Below are 14,566 nucleotides of genomic sequence, written 5' to 3' on the forward strand. Positions count from 1 at the left end.
TTGGTTTTTTGTTCACTGCTCTATTTCCAGCATCTAGAACAGTGCAAGCGTACAGATGATCAATAAATACATGTTGAACAATTACAAAAAAAAAAATCACTTCTTTTGATCTGTTTCCTCATCTGTAAATGGAAATATTAAGTTCTTGCCTCCCATCTACTGATATAATATAGACACAAAACATCTGGTAAGTATTTAAGAACAGACTCAACTTCCAATTTAGTGTTCCTGTCACAAGACTTCTCCTGTAGGCTCTAAGGAAGTAGCAGAGAACAAATGTCAGTGCATTTGGCAGGCAAGCTAGGTGGTAATCAGGGTGTGGAGGAGAGTTGAACAACTAAATAATAACTAAATCATGCTTTCTTTCCCCTATCTTTGCCAAGTAGTCAGCTATTCTCTTTACTACTCTGTCACAACAATAACAAAGGATCTTTTAAAATAATCTGTTACCTGATTGCTTCTTTGAAAGCATAAAGTCTTGGTGGAGAGGAGGAAGCACCTAAGCTATACTTGTAAAGATGCAAAAAAGACAAGGGAAGGTCAGGCGCAGTGATTCACGCCTGTAATCCCAGCACTTTGGGAGGCCGAGGCGGGTGAATTATTTAAGGTCAGGAGTTTGAGACCAACCTGGCCAATGTGGTGAAACTCTGTCTTTACTAAAAATACAAAAAAATTAGCCAGGCGTGGTGGCACACGCCTGTAATCTCAGCTACTCGGGAGGCTATGGCAGGAGAATTGCTTGAACCCAGGAGACACAGGTTGCAGTTAGCTGAGATGGTGCCACTGCACTCCAGCCAGGGCGACAGAGCAAGACCCCATCTCAAAGATAAAAGACAAGGGGAGATAGTTAAAAGTAAATGAGACAATAAGAAAAGAATATTGAAGCGAGCAGATCTGAGTACCTATACCAACTAATTCAACACAAGAATGGTCTCTATCTGATTTCTCTGTAATTCTGCAGTCCCTTTACTGGAAATCTAGGAGATAAGTGATGTTAAATAACTTGCCAAAAAGTTATACAGGTAGTAAGTATGTGCTGAAGGCACAATTCAAACCAAAGGAAATCTAGTCAATTTAGGCAAGTTTATATCTTAAAGTTATTTTAACTGAAATTTAAGTGAAAGGGATAGAGAGAGAAGGATATATGATGCGGAACTCAGGATCTAAAGTTAAAATTGTGGGCTGTGTGCGGTGGCTCACATCTGTAATTCCAGCATTTTGGGAGGCCAAGACGGGTGGATCACTTGAGGTCAGGAGTTCGAGACCAGCCTGGCCAACATGGCAACTCCCTGTCTAAAAATACAAAAATTAGCCGGTCATGGTGGTGGATGCCTGTAATCCCAGCTACTCAGGAGGCTAAGGCATGAAATTCGCTTGAACCCGGGACACAGAATCTGCAGTGAGCCGAGGTCACGCTACTGCACTCCAGCCTGGGCGACAGAGTGAGACTCCATCTCGAAATAAAATAAAATAAAATGTTAAAATTACAAGTCATCTTTGAAGTTTAATCATAACATAAAATTTAACTTTCAATAGAAAATTAAAGTCAATAGAAAAAAAAATTAACTACCACATAAGCCTCAAGTCAACGGCAGTATTACTCCCCCAGTAAAATGCTACCATATTCTATAGCAATTCAAAATGTATACAATACACACATACATACATATACATTTTCATTTTAATCTCGCAATAACCCAAAAGGATGTCATTTGTCCAACAAAGTCTAACTCCAAATCCTGCCCTTCGCTATCACTACCTCCCTCCCATAAAACTTTTCTCAAACTATAAACAAAAAGCAGAGATAAAGGTATCCTATTAAAACCAAGTGTTGGCTCGGCACAGTGGCTCATGCCTGTAATCCCAGCACTTTGGGAGGCTGAGGTTGGCGGATCACCTGAGGTCAGGAGTTCGAGACTAGCCCTGCCAAGATGGCAAAACCCCATCTCTACTAATGATACAAAATTAGCTGGGCTTGGTGGTGCGGGCCTGTAATCTCAGCTACTCAGGAGGCTGGGGCACAAGTATCGCTCGAACCCAGTAGGCGGAGGTTGCAGTGAGCTGAGATCGCGCCACTGCACTCCAGCCTGGGCGACAGAGTGTAACTACGTCTCAAATAATAATAATAATAATATAATAATACCAAGTGTTAAGTTTAGCCTAATGCTGCTTCCTTATATATTTTAAGTTCAGCCTAAAGGTTTCTCTGTACATGGTTAACTATAATCTAACTGGGTGTATACACAGACTATAACCTACTCTTGTAACAAGTAGCTAAGTCTCAGCCAATCACAGCAGCCATACTTCAACCACTCACAGGCAGCAAACTGTTCAAACCGTGTTCAAATAAGGCAAACGACAAGCTGCAACCAATCTGGCTATTTCTGTACCTCACTTCCATTTTCTGTATGTCTCTTTTCTTTTTCTGTTCATAAATCCTCTTCAACCATACAGCAGCACCAGAGTCACTCTGAACCTATTTCTGGTTCAGGGGGCTGCCTGATTTGCTAATTGTTCTTTCGTCAGTTAAGCTCTGTTAAATTTAATTTGTCTTAAGTTTTTAACACAAGTGGAGAATGCAGGGATGTTTATTGTATTTTTATTCTTTATTTCTTAATTATTTGTTACATATATTTAAAATGTCTTGGGCCAGGCATGGTGGCTCACATCTTAATCTCAACATTTTGGAAAACCAAGGCTAGCAGACTGCTTGAGCCCAGGAGTTCAAGACCAGCCTGGGCAACATGGCGAAACCCTGTCTCTACAAAATACAGAAAAATTAAAAGGTAGCTGGGTGTGGTGGCACACATCTGTGGTCCCAGCTACTCAGGAGGAGGCTAAGGTGGGAGGATCACCCAAGCCCAGGAGGTCAAGGCTGCAGTGAGCCGTGATCACGCCACTGCACTCCAGCCTTAGTGACAAGAGTGAGAAACTATCTCAAAAAATAAATAAATAAGTAAGTAAAGGGCTTTTTACCCTTATTGCACACTTAAGAAAAAGAACAAAAAATGGAACAGAAACATACTTGTAGCAGTATAACAAAGAGCTTAATATGCCTAGTATTTAATATAAATCTCCCACAAACATACTAATAACAAGCCAAAAGAAAAATAAGCAAAGGATTGGAACAAGCAAGCTAAACACTGAGATATCATCCAATCTGGCAAAGGTTAAAAGACTTATTCAGTGTTAGTTAAGTGTGGGGAACCTAGGCCTAGCCTCAATGCCACACTGAACTTGGATGCTCTTGAGTTACCTTATTCACAACTTTAATATTTAGCAAGTCTGCATGTTTGTCTCTCTCTTAACTGAACTCAAGAGCATCTTTTTTTTTTTTTTTTTGAGACCAGATCTTACTGTCACCTAGGCTGCAGCACAGTGGCGCAATATAGCTCACTGCAGCCTAGAATTCCTGGGCTCGTGATCCTCCTGTTTCAGCCTCCTGAGTAGCTAGGACTACAGGCACATGCCATCATGCCTGGCTTTTTCATTTTTTAATTTTTGTAGAGACAGGGTCTCACCGTGTTGCCTAGGCTGCTTAGAGCATCTTAATTCTTTCCAAAACCCCAATATACCCAGCCCAGTATCTAGCCTGTAAGAAGCAATTATGAGGCCGGGTGCGGTGGCTCATACCTTTAGTCGCAGCACTTTGAAAGGCTGAGATGGGTGGATCACCTGAGGTCAGGAGTTCAAGACCAGCCTGGTCAACATAGTGAAACCCCATCTCTACTAAAAATGCAAAAATTAGCTGGGTGTGGTGGCGGGCGCCTGTAATCCCAGCTACTCGGGAGGGTGAGGCAGGAGAATCGCCTGAACTCGGGAGGCAGAGGTTGCTGTGAGCCAAGATTGCGTCACTGCACTCTAGCCTGGGGCAGTGAGAACGAAACTCGGTCTCAAAAAAAAAAAAAAAAAAAAGTCACTTATGAGTAACACAAAGATGTCCATGAAACACAAAATCAGAGCAATCAGAAAATAACAAGGCCTGATTTGAGTGCAAAGATGGCTAAACTGATACATTACTTCCTGAGGCTTCTGCATCTTTTTTCTTTTTTTTTTTTTTGAGACAGAGTCTCGCTGTGTCACCCAGGCTGGAGTGCAGTGGCGCAATCTCGGCTCACTGCAAGCTCCGCCTCCCAGGTTCACATCATTCTCCTGCCTCAGCCTCCTGAGTAGCTGGGACTACAGGTGCCCGCCACTACGCCTGGCTAACTTTTTGTATTTTTAGTAGAGATGGGGTTTCACCGTGTTAGCCAGGATGGTCTCGATCTCCTGACCTCATGATCTGCCCGCCTTGGCCTCCCAAAGTGCTGGGATTACAGGCTTGAGCCACAACGCACCCAGTCTCTTCTTCATTTTAGAGGTAGGGTCTTGCTGTGTCACCCTAGCTGGAGTGTAGTTGGCATGATCATGTAGTCGGCTCACTTGCATTCCTGGGCTCAACTGATCCTCCTGCCCAAGTATAGGCATGAGCTAAGGGACAATAGACATGAGCTAAGCTTCTCCATCTTACCATCTACTAAAGGCAAAAAATTGAGATCATCCATGATTTCATCATCCATGATTTCTCCTTTCCCACACATTCCCCTGCCCAAACCAGCATCCATCCAATCCATGAATAAATCGTGTTAGTTCTCCACCCAAAATATCCTGAATCCATCCAATTCTCTCCATTTGTACTGCTGCCATCTGATTCAAAGTTCTTATCTGCACTAGAAAGCCTGTTGTAGTAGCCTCCAAACTGGTTCCAGGATTTCCATGCTTGACCTCGTTTCAATCATTTCACCAAACAGCAGCCAGAGCAATATTTTAAATTATTTCCACTTCAGGCCTCTCCCTCTGTCTAGAGAGTTCTTGACATGTTTGGTTCCTTCTCCTTCATTCTGTTCTCAGAGTTAATGTCACTTCCTCCACAGCAACATTCTCTGACCACCCTAGCTCAAGTGCCAACCACTTCCTCCCCTCACTCTCTACCATACCACTGCCTTCAAAGCACTTCTATTTGAAATTTGTTTTGCATTATTTATACTTCAACAAATACCTGCTCTGCTCACATACTATGTGCCATTTTAAGTGCTAGCAATACAGCGAACAAAAATTCCTGAGCTCATGGAGCTTACATTCTGGTGGAGGAAACCACCAACAACAAAATAAATAAAGAAAATATGTTAATAGTGCCAAGGTGAACAAAAAACAAAGCATGGAAGAGAAATATAAAATGTTGAGGCGATGACTGAACTGTATCCTCGAAAATGGTTAAGATGACTAATTTTATGTTGTGTATTTTTCCACAATTAAAAAAAAATTTTTTTTTGAGACAGACTCGTGCTTTGTTGCCCAGACTGGAGTGCAGTGGCGTGATCTCGGTTCACTGCAACTTCCACCTCCTGGGTTCAAGCAATTCTGCCTCAGCCTCCTGAGTAACTGGAATTATAGGCACATGCCTGTAATTGACTATTGACTACTCCCTTGTCAATAGTGCTCACAGCAAGTTACAGAGAAGAAAAAACATCCAGCTAATTTTTGTATTTTTTGTAGAGATGGGGTTTTGCCATGTTGACCAGGCTGGTCTCGAACTCCTGACCTCAGGTGATCCACCTGCCTTAGCCTCCCAAAGTGCTGAGATTACAGGCTTGAGCCACCACACCTGGCCCACAATTTAAAAAATTTTTATCAAGAATGTTTTAAAAGTTGGGGCGAGGGTGGGGAGGCAAAAAATAAATAAATTTTAAAATAAAATAAAATAATTAAAAGTTGGGGCGAGGGTGGGGAGGCAAAAAATAAATAAATTTTAAAATAATAAAATAATTAAAAGTTGGGGCAAGAAAATGCTAAATTTCAGATAGGACAGAAGGCTTCAATGAAAGTGATATGGAGGAAGACATGAAGAAGTAAAAGAACTCACCACGTTGATATCTGGGGAAATAAATTCCAGACAAAGAGAAGAGTAATGCAAAGGCCCTGAGGCAGGGATCATGCCTGGCATATTTGAGAAGCAGCAAGTATGTCTGGCTTTGTGAGTCGGGGAGCCATTAATCCATAACACCTAAATCAGTGTCTGGTATAAAAAAGGAACTCAAATATATGACTACTGTATAGCAGCAAGACTGGTACAGGTACATCCCTTTAAAAGGTAAATTATGTTGTTATTTCACACTTCATAGGACAGTGTGGTTGATTTATAAGATCCACAGAAAAGGCCAGGTGCAGTGGCTCACATCTATAACCCTAGCACTTTGGGAAGCCGAGGTGGGATTATTGTTTGAGCTCAGGAGCAACATAGCCAGACCTCATCTATACTAAAAGTTAAAAAAATAAATAAATCAGCCAGGTGTGGTGGCACATGCCTATAGTCCCAGCTACTCAGGAGGCTGAGGCGGGATGACTGCTTGAGGCTGAGAGATTGAGGCTGCAGTGAGTTCTGATTGTACCACTGCACAGTCTGGGCAACAGGGCCAGACCCTGTCAAAAAAAAAAAAAAAAATCCACAGAAAAACAACAGCGTAACTTAATTTTAAAAGGGAAAGAGGTTTTCAGTTATTTCTAAATACTTTTCCTGATGATTTTCTGCTATTGGTTGAAAAAATTTAATTACTTAGCTTAAAAACTTACTAGATTATCCACTGGCATCTTGAGACCCCTTTTCTACTTAACTCTTAACTGAGCCTCCTTTAAATCATGATTTTCCTATAATTCATCATCCCCAATTAATCTTTTTCATATGCCACCTCTTAGTATTTTGTTTTTACTATTCTTACCTTACTTACTACTCCCTTGTCAATGGTGCTCACAGCAAGTTACAGAGAAGACAAACAAAATAGCTTTGTAAAAGATGCCAACCTTAAGGATATATTAGTAAAATATACATATGAATTCTAATTCGTGCTGTCTCCAGTCTTTGGAGGAGTTGAGGAGTTGGGGAGTCTCTAGTCTCAAGTTCCACAACCTCCACCCTCCCCAAACGCCCCAACCCTATGGTACTTATAATCTAAGTGATCATGGGAACAAAGGACCTAAGGAGTGGATCTAATAACTGTAACCATTCTTAGTTTTTAGATAAAAATAACTAATAAAGTACTGTTCTCTTGTTCTTACAAGCACATTTCAGATTAACCCAATTCTATGCTTAATTATTTAAATGCATTAGGACAAGAGTTCCATAGTTTTTTTGTTTTGTTTTGTTTTTTTAACAGAGTACATTCAGAATGTTGTACTTAAGGGAGGAAAACTTCAGGCACAATCACCAATTATGAATGGCCAATATAGGCTGGGCTTGGTAGCTCAGCCTGTAATCCCAGCACTTTGGGAGGCCAAGGCAGGTGGATTACTTGAGTTCATGAGTTTGAGAGCTGCTGGGGCAACATGGTGAAACCCCGTCTCTACAAAAAATACAAAAATGAGTTGGACATGGTGGAATGCACCTGTAGTCCCAGCTACTCAGGAGGCTGAGGTGGGAGGATGGCTTAAGCCTGGGAGGTAGAGGTTGTAGTGAGCTGAGATGGAGCCACTGCACTCTAGCCTGGGCAACAGAGCCAGACCTCATCTATACCAAAAGTTAAAAAAAAAAAAAAAAAGCAAAAAAAAAAAACAAAAACAAACCCAGAGCCAGACTTTGTCTCACACAATAAAAAGAATAGCCAATGTATTAAGAAATTAAGCCTTAGGCCAAGCGCAGTGGCTTACACCTGTAATCCCAGCACTTTGAGAGGCCAAGGTGGGTGGATCACCTGAGGACAGGAGTTCAAGACCAGCCTGATGAAGTCCCGTCTCTACTAAAAATACAAAAATTAGCTGGGTGTGGTGGTGGGTGCCTGTAATCCCAGCTACTCAGGAGGCTGAGGCATAAGAATCACTTGAACCTGGGAGGTGGAGGTTACAGTGAACCGAGATCTTGCCATTGCACTCCAGCCTGGGCAACAAGAGCGGAACTCCGTCTCAAAAAAAAAAGAACTTAATTACTTGCCAAAAATCAAACCCAAATAAATTATATCTTAATATAAACACATTTGGTTGCTTGGCTTTTTAAGATTCAAGTAGAGTAGCACCTAACAATTAAAATGGATTATATTAATTTGTTAAGACATTAATTCTAACATTACATACAAACTTATAATGATTCTTCAAATAAGATAATAGTAACAACATAAATAACTTTTGGCTTCTAAAGTTTAAAATCGAGAAAAAAAAAATTTGTATTCAGGTCAATAATGGGGGCAGGGCATCCAAAAAACAGTTAATACCTAAAGTCAAGAGGCTACAAGAGGTTTTAATGCATATAAAGTTTATTATTATAAATGTCAGTGACTAGCCAATCACAAAGCTTCAGACTTGAGGAAAACATTGATAATTTTTCATTTATTGCCATAGATTGTGTCATTTTCAATGTTCATATAAAAATCCACTTTATTTCTGAAGAGCTCGGTGAAAGGGAAGAGCACTAACCCTGCATTTGTATACTACAGAAAGGAGAAGTGTATTGTATGTGAGTTACAGCTCAATAAAGCAATGTGAGAAAGTATGAAAGAAGGAGAACTTAGTGGAGTATATAAAACTCAATCCTGGTTTTGTTAAATAAAACACTAAAACCAATAAATAAATACTGGCATATTTAAACTATTAGGTGACATAATGAGGACACAGTAGATACCATTAGCTAAAGATTTCTACTCCTAAAGATGGAACTTCCATATAATAGAACTTTATTATACAGTAAATTAAAGAGAAGGAAGGTGGCTTATGTAACAAAGGACTAACCTTCAAGATCTTTTAAGTGAAAAGGGATCTAGAGTATGTATGTTCTTTTGCATTAAAAAGGGAAGGAATTTGTGCACGTTTGTTACATAAGACACATGTTATATATACACATACAGACGCATGCACGTATATGTTTTTGGTGGCATATATATAAATTAGCTTTGGAAAGATATACAAGAAACAGCTAACACCGGGGCTATCTGTGGGTTAACAGAATAGCTAGAGCATAGTAAAAGGGAAGATTTCCTTAGGTCACCACTTTGTGTGTTTTGGATTTTGAGCAATGTGAATATAAACTTACCAAGAGGAAAAATTAAAAGTACTTTACCTTGCACCATTGTTCCTAATGACTTCCACAGTTTCTTCGACAAAATATCGATCCTTGACATATGCAAAGATATCATCACAAATTTCATGTAAGCGCGAACGATGGGTAAGGCTGGTCAAGTATAAAACTGGAATAATTAGTGGTTCTGGAAAACTCTGAAGATTCTGTCTTGCTTTTTTTTCTGACTCAAGTGCTTCCTGATACGTCAGTCCAGGTCTACCCGTCACAGCACAACTCCACACAAGGCTGTTGCACAGAATGGTTCGTTCAAAAAAGTCACTGATTAAAAAACAAAAACAAAAACAAAAGCCCATTACCTATCATTTCACAAATTTTACATTAAAAACTGATAGCATTATCAGGTTATTTTTGTGCCTTTAATGCAAAATTTTATGTAGACTCACAGAACTCAAGGGTTTGGTAACTGGTCAACTTATAACATTAATACAAACATAAGAAAAAGTATATTTAAACTAAATATTTATATTTTGCAATTTAAAGGTACATCAGTCAAAACCAGACTTTGAGTTCCATCTGCTTTTCAGTGAAAAACTGAAAACTTTAAGCAGCTAACAAGAAAAAAGCTAAATAAAGTAGTACTTTATATAATGAAAAATCAGTCATTAAAAAGTATAAAGTTCTTAATTAACATTTCCATTAATGTTAATAGAAAAATACCTATTTTCAGTTTGATCTCTCCTGTATTTTCTTGAAACTATATGATGATCTCATTTGTGTTATAAAAAAAAAAAAGAGGAAAAGAGAAAAAGGAAAGAAAATAAAAGGTACCTATAGAAGCATAGGTTTCTGGAATGTCATACAAAACTCGAGGTAACAGGCAGTAGTGATAAGACTGGGGAACCATTCTATTCAGTGCTCTTCTATTCTGCTGGAATTCCTTAATACGCGCATTTACCTATTTTCAAAAACTCTATCCACTCTCTCTTTTTTTTTTTTTTTTTTGAGACGGAGTCTCACTCTGTCACCCAGGCTGGAATACAGTGGCCGGATCTCGGCTCACTGCAACCTCCACCTCCCAGGTTTAAGCGATTCTCCTGCCTCAGCTTCCCGAGCAGCTGGGATTACAGGTGCCCGCCACCACGCTCGGCTTTTTTTTTTTTTTTTTTTTTTTTTTTTTGAGATGGAGTTTCACTCTTGTCGCCCAGACTGGAGTGCAATGGCGCGATCTCGGCTCACCACAACCTCTGCCTCCCAGGTTCAAGGATTCTCCTGCCTCAGCCTCCTTAGTAGCTGGGATTACAGGCATGTGCCACCACGCCCGGCTAATTTTGTATTTTTAGTAGAGACGGGGTTTCTCCATGTTGGTCAGTCTGGTCTCAAACTCCTGACCTCAGGCGATCTGCCTGCCTCAACCTCCCAAAGTGCTGGGATTACAGGTGTGAGCCACCGCGCCCGGCCATGCTCATCTAATTTTTATATTCTTAATAGAGATGGGGTTTCCTCATGTTGGCCAGGCTGGTCTCGAACTCTTGACCTTGTGATCCACCTGCCTCGGCCTCCCAAAGTGCTGGGATTACAGGCGTGAGCCACCATTCCCAGCCCTATCCACTCTCCTTTAAAATGCAAGAGATCTATATCACAGAAAGATTTCTAAGACATAATGGGTAGGAAAAACATGAATCAATGAATACACAATCCCATGTACATTAATTATAATAATCACAAAAATGTATGTACTTATATATATACTGTAAAGATATTCCCTATGGAGAAAGGAGGGGAGACTGGGAAGGAAGGAAAAGGAAAACTTTTTTTGTGATTCTAAATAATTCTATATTGTTTGAATTTTTTTTCTTTTTTAAGAGAGTCTCACTCTGTTGTCCAGACTGAAGGGCAGTGGTACAATCACCTAGGATCAAGCATTCTGTCTTGCCTCAGCCTCCTGAGTATTTGGGACTACAGGTGCACACCAGGACACTCACCTAATTTTTTTGAGAGTGTAGAGATGGGGTCTCACTATGTTGCCCAGGATGGTCTCAACTTCCTGGGCTCAAGCTATCTTCCCACTTCAGCCTCCCAAAGTGTTAAGATTATAGGAATGAGCCACCAGACCCAGCCTGTTTGAATTTTTATTTTTTTTTATGTATTTACTTTCCAGAGACAGAATCTCATGCTGTTGCCCAGGCTGGAGTGCAGTGGTACGATCTTAGCTCACTGCAAATTCTGCCTCCCTGGTTCCAGCAATTCTTGTGCCTCAGCCTCCCAAGCAGCTGGGACTACAGGTACATACCACTATACCTGGCTAATTTTTGTATTTTTAGTAGAGATGGAGTTTCATCATGTTGGCCAAGCTGGTCTTGAACTCCTGGCCTCAAACAATTCACCACCTCAGCCTCCCATAGTGCTGGGATTAGAGGCATGAGCCACCGCATTCAGTCCTGTTTAAATTTTTTTAATGAGCATTACTCATATATCATTTTGCAATAATTTTTTTTAAATGGAGTCCCACTCTGTCACCCAGACTGGAGTGCAGTGGTGCGATCTCAGCTCACTGCAACCTCCGCCTCCCAGGTTCAAGTGATTCTCCTGCCTCAGCCTCCTGAGTAGCTGGGATTACAGACGCGCGCCACCACACCCAGCTAATTTTTGTATTTTTAGTAGAGACGGGGTTTCACCATGTTGGTCTCGAACTCCTGACCTCGTGATCCACCCACCTCAGCCTCCCAAAGTGCTGGGATTATAGGCGTGAGCCACCGCACACAGCGCAATAAATTTTTTTTTTTTTTTTAAAGACAGAGTTCTCGCTCTGTCACCCAGGCTGGAGTGTAGTGGCATGATCTTGGCTCACTGCAACCTCCGCCTCCCAGGTTCAAGGGATTCACCTGCCTCAGTCTCCCAAGTAGCTGGGACTAAAGGCACATGCCACCATGCCTGGCTAATTTTTTGCATTTTCAGTAGAGATGGGGTTTCACCATGTTAGCCAGGATGGTCTTGATCTCCTGACCTGGTGATCTGCCCACCTCAGCCTCCCAAAGTGCTAAAATTACAGGCGTGAGCCACCACGCCCAGCCAATATAATTTTTTTTAAGTGTAAAAAGCCCACTGTGGTAGCATGAGCCTGTAATTCGAGCTACTCCGGAGGCCGAGGCAGGAGAATCGCTTCAGTCCAGGAGTTCAAGGCTACGGTGAGCCACAATCATGCCACTGCACTCCAGCCTGTGTAAGAGTGAGACTGTCTGAAAAAAAATTTTTTTATATATATGCATATGGTTATACATATGCAAAAGGGTTAACAATGGCTGCCTCTAAGTGGTAAGATACAGGTAAAATTTTTTCCTGCTTTACACTTTGTTCTACTTTTCTATATGTAACCATATAATTCATTATTCTTCAATTTTTTCTCCTTCCTGAAATCTTTACTTCTCCCGTCATTCTAAAAGTACTTAAACTGTTATATGTCTATTTCCTGGTTAGCACATCTATCTGTGTAGGTTATCTCTATTAGTTTGATCTCCAAAAATTGGGGGCAATTCCATTTAGATTGTTTCCTTTGTACATCTCTATAGAACAACTTTTTAAAAAGGTATCTACGGAAATAAAGCAAGAGAAACTAATCATACCTTAACTTAAATGAGATCTACAGAAATAGCATGCATATGCCAAGTTATATGGCTCTTAATTCAGTACAAAGAAGATCCTTTTGAACTAAAGTTTAGTTCAGGAAATAATCGGTGTATATCATCAAAAATACAAAGTAAAAAGCAGTTATCCTTATAAGCTAGAAGGCAGATATCCTAAGAATTCAGAGAAAGGGAAGGGAAGAATTCAGAAGGTAAAAAAAGATTTTTAAAAATACTATTAGAACTTTTTTGGGGGGAAGTAATGTTAACAGGTAGGTCTTAGCCAGACACGATGGCTCATGCCTGTAATCCCAGCACTTCGGCAGGCTGAGGCAGGAGGATCACTTGAAGCCAGGAGTTCGAGACCAGACTGCGCAACAAAGCGAGACCCTGTCTCCACCAAAAATTGAAGAAAAAAATTAGCCAGGGGGCGCACATCTATAGTCCTTGCTACTCAGGAGGCTGAGGTGGGAAGAGCACCTGAACCCAGGAGTTCAAGGCTGCAGTGAGCTATAATTACACCACTGCACTCCAGCCTGAGTGACAGAGCACAACCCTGTTTCTTAAAAAAGTTCTAGTTCAGGCACGGTGGCTCACATCTATAATCCCACCACTTTGGAAGATTGAGGCAGGAGAAATGCTTAAGCCCAAGAGCTCAAGACCAGCCTGGGTGACACGGCAAAACCCAGTCTCTACTAAAAACGGAAAAATTAGCCAGGTCCACGTGGTGGCACATGCCTGTAGTCCTAGCTACTCAGGAGGCTGAGGCAGGAGGAGCACTTCAGCCCGTGAGGCCGAGGTTGCAGTGAGCCAAGATCGCACCATTGCACTCTAGCCTGGGTGACAGAGTAAAACAATATCTCAAAAAAAAAAAAAAAGAAAAAAGTTCTAACTTTTTCCTATAGAAACAAACATATCTATAATATTTAGCTTCTCAAACCAGTACATAGTTAGCACATAGTGTACATTGGTATACTTTTTTCCTCTTTTTTAAAATTGATATATAACAGTTATACATATTAATACCTGTATACAATGTGTAATGATCAAATCGGGGTAACTGGGATATCCATCACATGAAGTATACTTCTAATAACTTAAACAATACTTAGTATTGCTTGAGAAAATTATACTTCAAATCTAAACATCTTATACTTTAGTCTGTAAGCCAGTGCTAGTAGAAATAGAATGGTTAGTCACATGTATAATTTTAAATTTTCTAGTGGTCACATTTAAAAATTTTAAAATAAAAATAACCCAATATATCACAAAATAATTTCATTTCAATACGTAATAAACATTTTAAAAATTAAGATACTTTACTTACATTCTTCTTTAAAAAAAAAAAAAATCCGCCGGGCATGGTGGCTCACGCCTATAATCCCAGCACTTTGGGAGGCCGAGGCAGGCAGATCGCGAGGTCAGGAGATCGAGCACATGCTGGCTAACACAGTGAAACCCCATCTCTACTAAAAATACAAATAATTAGCCAGGCGTGGTGGCACGCGCCTGTAGTCCCAGCTATTGGGGAGGCTGAGGCAGGAAAATCACCTGAACCCGGAAGGTGGAGGTTGCAGTGAGCTGAGATTGTGCCACTGCACTCCAGCCAGGGCAACAGAGCGAGACTCTGTCTCAAACAAAAAAAAGAAAAAAAAAATCCAATGTATATTTTACATTTATGTCTATCTTAATTCGGACTAATCACATTTCAAGTACTTAATAACCCATCTGGCCAAGTAATGGCTCCTGTTCTGGACAGCACAGCTCTAGCCACAGCAGCTAAGTGCCTGAGGTATTGAGTAGGTCACGCATGGGATATTTCATGCCATGGCAGGGGGACAGCTAAACGCAGTGAAGTGCAACAAACACGATTTAGACTTAACACTGCCTAAAAATACCAAGAACA

General features: G+C 40.7%; 1 protein-coding gene across 7 annotated transcripts in view; it reads right to left on the bottom strand.

The window, feature by feature from the left end:
* The window catches only part of BAZ1A (bromodomain adjacent to zinc finger domain 1A), a 122,630-nt gene that overhangs the window by 100,234 nt on the left and 7,830 nt on the right, over nucleotides 1-14,566 (bottom strand). For 6 of the 7 annotated variants that reach the window (XR_007063978.1, NM_182648.2, NM_013448.3 and 3 more), the window contains one exon: nucleotides 9,080-9,358. The exons of the other annotated variant lie outside the window; for it this stretch is intronic. Coding sequence is in view for 5 of the 6 variants with exons in the window: in NM_182648.2 (NP_872589.1) it covers nucleotides 9,080-9,358 (279 nt within the window). In the remaining variant the exon portion in view is untranslated. The remainder of the gene's footprint in view (nucleotides 1-9,079; nucleotides 9,359-14,566) is intronic. 7 annotated transcript variants of the gene reach the window in all.

The sequence above is a fragment of the Homo sapiens genome, chromosome 14, assembly GCF_000001405.40.
Source record: "Homo sapiens chromosome 14, GRCh38.p14 Primary Assembly".
In the NCBI taxonomy this organism is placed as follows: Eukaryota; Metazoa; Chordata; class Mammalia; order Primates; family Hominidae; genus Homo; species Homo sapiens.